Source organism: Homo sapiens, chromosome Y (genome assembly GCF_000001405.40).
Source record: "Homo sapiens chromosome Y, GRCh38.p14 Primary Assembly".
Lineage (NCBI taxonomy): Eukaryota > Metazoa > Chordata > Mammalia > Primates > Hominidae > Homo > Homo sapiens.
This window is the reverse complement of record NC_000024.10, coordinates 21,528,916-21,534,878: the sequence shown is the minus strand read 5'-3', so window position 1 is coordinate 21,534,878 and position 5,963 is coordinate 21,528,916.

Sequence of the window (5,963 nt, the reverse complement as noted above, 5' to 3'; positions counted from 1 at the left end):
CCCGCCTACCTCCAGCGGCCAATCATTGCGAAGGCGGTGGGCGTCAGCCAGTTACTGCAAAGGCTGTGGGCGTGTCCTGAGGCCGCTCCGCCCCAGCAGGCCTGCGGCTCCATCATCTCGCGGTAACTCTTCCGAGACCACGCTTGTGCCACGTGGCGGGCCGCGGTGGATTAAGGCACACGCGAACTGTGAGCCCTTTGCAATTGTGGGCATGGAAGACCTACACCCTAACTGGCATCCTGAGTGTGGCAAGACATTAACTAACCCACAGGGAACACATGAAACATCTCACTTCATTAGGCAGGCTAGGCTGATGGTACTGAATATTGCGGATCCAGAGGGGAGAGAGAGGGACCAGCGCTGCTGCTGGGGCGAGGGCAGCAGCGGTGGCTTGGGGGGATTGGGGCAGGGCGGGTGCGTGGGACTAAAGTCGACTGGTACGTTGCTGAGGTGGAATTCATCTGCACCAGAAGCTGAAACCCTGCAAGGATTCTGTCAGGTCTAGGCAAATACATACTCCGAGTTCCATGGTTCCTCCCTGAGGATGCTGTACTCACAGGGGCATTCCAAAGGACTTCTCATCCTGTGCCCTGGGCACACGGGAGGCCTACCGCCATGGTCGCCAATGCAGTGATCCGTGTGCACTGCTTTGCTGGTGCAGAGGCTCTCACAAGTGCAGTGGTGGCCGTGTGCCTGCTAGCGGGGCTCTGGAAGCCAGGGCCTTGGCATCCGACTCCAGGGCTGCCGTGCGCAGCTAACCCTGCTGGGTATCTGAGCCCCAGTGTGAGTGTGACAGGCTAAGGGCCCTGTGGGGCCCCCCAGGAACCCTGTTCCACATAGGTGTAGGATGTGGTTCTCAGCAGGGCAAGGCCCGCAGGCCTCTCCTGGAGTTGCCCCCAGAGTTGACGGGTGCCGGGGGGGTGGGGTGGGAGGCACAGGCTTTGCTCTGTTGGAGCCTCAAGGAGGGCACCATGTTAAGGCTGGAGGCTGTGCAGGAGAGGATGGTCTGTGCACAGAGCAGGAAGACAACCCTGCGGGGAGAGGCATGCTAGTGGGGGATGACATCATTGCAGAGATGGAGGTGGTGGCCAAGGAGGAAGGCCAATGTGGAGCCACAGCAGGAGGACCTGCAGGCACAGCCTGGCCCTGGCCCCAGTACGCCCCGGCCAGCAACAGACTCGCTGGACGTCCTTCACTTGGAGCTCGGCTACGTGAATGTCCCAGGCCACAGGGCATCCCCGGCTTCTGGGCCAGAGCCATATCCTTGCAGCTGCCAATTCGGGATGGTTGGCAGCAGGGGATGGGCGCGGAGCTCCCGGGAGCGGAGGTGGGGGGAAACAAGGTGGTAGGCACTGGCGGTCAGCCAGGATTCAGGGCATGGGGGACAACAAGGGGAACTGAGAACAGGCTCATGCGGATAGGAGGGCAGCTTAATTGCATGTGCCCTGAGGGCATGTGGTAGGGACAGGAAGCCAAGCACAGCACTCACCAGGGAGAATAGCAGCGCCAAGGACCCATCATAACAGCAGAAAGTTGAAGGATACGATTCACCGGGAAAGTCCCTGGAGGAAGGGGAGTCTGCATGCCCATGCCAGCCACGGAACTTCCCTGCTCCCCTTGCCTGTGTCCAGCAAGCTTACCCCAGAAACACAAGGTGCTCAAGACTCGGTGTCACTGTGCACGGGGCTGCTGTCCTATGCAAGGCAGGCACTATCTCCCCAGACACAATTTCTTCCCTCTGCCAGCGCTGCACCCAAAGATGTTTAGGCCCTGAGTATATATAAGCTCCCTTGAAACCACTCGAGCTCCACGGGGAGAGCCAGGCACAGCCCCGTAGCTACTTCTACCCACAGCGGTTGCCTGGGGTGGACACGTGCACCCCTCAGGGGAGACCAGGAGAAGGAGAGACGGCACACCCAGACAGCAGCAGAGCCTGTCCAGCACCCAGCACAGGAGGGCCTCCTGCAGCTCAGAAACGCCGAGCAAGTAGTCGCCTCACACAACAACACCCCGCCCCCAACCCCCTGCCCACTTCTTCAGTGCCAGCCCCTGGTCAGAGCAGGTTGTCTGGGCCTGCCTCCACCCACCACCAAGACCACCACAGCTCTGATGGTGCCCTCCACGCCAGACAGAGACAGAGGACCTGGAAGGGAAGGTGCCCTGCCCCACACTCTCCGTGCTCTTGCAAAGTTGCAGGGTGTTTCCTTGCACGCCCACCCAATCATCCGGCGGCTCCTTGACCAGAGGCAGATTGTGCGGCACACCGAGATGTTGGCCGGGATCACAAATGATGATGAAGTCCTGCTAAGCTACGTACGTGATGGATTTGCAGGTCGGGCTAAGGAGCCTGAGTCTTCGGGAGGGGTCTGGTGTCTGGGTCAGGTTGAGGTACCCCTGGGACCCGGGGGTGTCTCAATGAGAGAGTTGGGAAGGAGAAACACATGCTTCACCCCAGCTAACAGGTCACCTCACCCCAGCTACATGAAATGCTCCTTTGAGTACGTCCTCTTTCTCCTTCTTGGCCAGGTAAGGGGAGGAAAGCAACTCTTCCGGGTACCGGCAGCAGGATGAAGTTTTCCTTTTATCACAGTCTCTACTTCCACAATGAAGTGATCATTCAGGAGTACTGCCTTGGCATCCTCGGTAAGGAGCGCCTCCCAGCATGGTAGGGGAGCTGGTGTGTGGGAGGGTAGGTCTGGCATGAACCTTCCTGACTCCTCTCTCTGCAGGATACGGGATGTCTCATTCCACTGCAGTCTAGTGGTTGTGGGATCATGAAGGTCAAGCCTCCAGCTGCAGGCCGTACAGCTCCTACCTGACCTTCTTCAGCTGGTTGGCTGACCATGACTGCCCAGGTTCTGGCAGGATTGCTGAGGTGAGCGCCAGGTAGGGCATCATGGGAAAGGATCTTGCTGGTCATTCCTTGGCCTCTGGGGAACTGGCTTTGAGCCATGACCTGAACTAACCTGTACCCACTTCTGCAGTCCCCTAGATCATCAGCCAGAGCCTGTAGCTCAATCCCCTGCAGTACTTCTCCAGGGAGGGAGGCCATTAGAGAGTGAACAGAGAGGAGGCCAGGTGAGCAGTCTGGGGCTGGGGACTGAGAGGCGGTTGATTCCTGGAGTTGTGCCCCACATGGAGAAACCAAGCCTCAGGGAGGTGACTGCAGTGAGCAATCCCACGCCATCCATGGGCTGGCGGAGAAATGGCCATCAAAGAACTGTAACACCCACATTTTAGGATTGGGGCACCTTCAGCCGCCTAAGAGGAGTAAGTGTCTAAGGTCAGTGGGTGAGAAGCAAGGCTCAAGTGGTAGCTGTCTCATCATCCCTCACCGGCTGAGGCCTGAGGCCGGCTACCACTTGGGGCTCAGTTTGGGCTCAACCAGGGCCCTCTCACCCTCCACGCAGATATCCTCCCAAGGCCCCTCTCTATGTCTTCCCTGATGGGCTGTCCCACGCCCATCATTTTTTGTTACAATGATCCCAGGCTTCCCTGAGATGCTTTCTGCCCTCTGCCATCATCACCCACACTTCCCTGCCCCACCCTGCCCCACCAGACAAGAGAGGCCGCTACACAGGGAATCTGGAGAACCACACTGGGCTCACAGGGGAGGAAATGTGAAGAGATTGCAAAATGGATGAGCCCTTCATTGTGTGTCCAGGGAGGGAACCTGGCTGGGAATTAAGGCCCACCTGAGTAGTGGTGTGGACACCCAGTGTTACTTATCATGATGAAGACCTGCTTTGTCACATCCCCTAATATTAATATGGAAGTTATTTTCTTGGAACAGTGAAACAATGTGTACAAAGAAATAGTGTTTGTTCAGATTTGTGTAGAAATACTGCAGACGCGTCCCTTTTCCATTACAATTCTTATGTGAGACTTGAAGTGTTTATTGAGTTGTAAGATACATTTTGATGGTTCTGCCCCCAGCAAATTTTATGATCATGTTTGCACTGTAGAGACATGGAATCCAGAAAAGTTTTGAGTGACTTTCAGCTTCTTGTAGAGTACTTACTTGTAAATTTTGAATTTTTTTCCGTATAGTTCTCTTCAGTTTATTATTTTAATTTTATGTGCAAGGTGATTCATTTGTTTTATTTGCCTTTTGTGGAAACTTTGTTTTAATGTACTTTCTGTTTTCCGTTAGATATGCGAGTTGAACTGTGAGTACAAAATTTTTATTTTCATTTTTTAGTTGTTTTGGGGTGTCTGTGTGTGTTTTGAGGAGTACTGCTCTGTCACCCAGGCTGGAGTGAAGTGGCAGGATCTCGGCTCAACCTCAACCTCCGCCTCCCAGCTTCAAGCAATTCCCCTGCCTCGGCCTTCTGAGGAGTTGGGATTACTGGTGCATGCCACCATGTGCAGCTAATTTTTGTATTTTTAGTCAAGACTGGGTTTCACCATATTTGCCAGGCTGGTCTCCGACTCCTCACCTCAACTGATCCACCCACTTTTGCCTGCCAAACTGCCAGGCTTACAGCGTGAGCCACCATGCCCAGCCTCATTTATTTGTTTCTGTATTAGAACCCTTCTTGTATACTCTTCATGTACACACATTTTAGAGTGAATGGAAGAGTGTATTTTATTTATTTAGTCAATAGTAGAATTTTAAACGCAATGTTTTTATTCAGTAAATACAGTATTGTGAATAGGTTAAACCTAGTATAGTATTGTCATTCTCTCTTTCATAAATTTTTCAAGAACGCTGATACTGTTTCCGTCCCCCCGCCTCCGAGGAGAACACGCAGATAGGTCCAAAAAATTGTGGAAGTGAGTGGGTATGAAAATATAATTTGAAGGCCGGACGGGGTGTTTCACGCCTGCAATCCCCACACTTTCGGAGGCCAAGGCTGGTGGATTACCAGACGTCAGAAGTTCAAGACCAGCGGGGTCAACATGGTGAAACCCCACCTCTACTAAATATTCGAAAATTAGCTGGGCATGGTGGCAGGTTCCTGTAATCCTAGCTATTTGGGAGGCTGAGGCAGGAGAATCGGTTGAACCCAAGAGGCGGTGGTTGCAGTGAGCCAAGATCACGCCACTGCACTACAGCCTGGGTCACAAGACCAAAGCTTTGTCTCCACCACCCCACACCCCCCAAGAAAGCATTATTTTGGGAAAAACCCATCCAGCACTTGTAAAAATAAGGAATTATTAGGCATGGCCACTGTAGTGGTCTGAAACACACTTTGAAATTCTTCTCAAACCCATTTGAAAATATTCCTGATGGAACTGAACACAGTACTTGCTTCTAATGTATAGAAAACACTGCAAGCAGTTTCTGGATACTGGACCACCTCTGGCCTAGTTTAGAGACGGTGACACGGCTCTGCCTAGGTCTCCTGCTCTCATGGGGACAAACCCCTTAGGAGCCCCCGACCAGTACATCACGCAGTCTAACACCCTGATAACACTATGCAGAAGGGACATCCAATGGAGAGACTCAAAGAAACAGAACAAGATGTCTGAGCATCTCAGCAGTCCAGCCCCTGCTATTTGAGTCACGCTAGCCATGGCACCAGGGAGATGAGAAGACACCCGCCAATGTCCCCATCTTTGGCCATCACTAGATTGCATCCTCCTGAGCGCCCCTGAACCACATTCATTTGGCTGAGAGACTGAGGGCGATTGCAGAGACTGACAGTTAGTAAATTATAATTATGGTTTTAAGCCACTAAGTTTTAGATAATTCTGAAAAGCACTTTAGACTCCTAGAAAAACTGTGTCGTCTACTGACTTCATTGCAGAGAGCTGTAAAGGCCAACATCATGAATGCTAATACCCTGGAAAAGTCAAATCATCGAGACTCTTCTAAGCACAACAGATCTTTAATGTCCCTTCGCTATGGCTGGAGAATAATCTAACATGTATCTGATAGAGTTGTTGGAAAGCCTCTGTTCACATCTCTCAGCCTGGTATGGGTCAACTCTGGTCTGCTTTAATTCTAGGCAACTGCA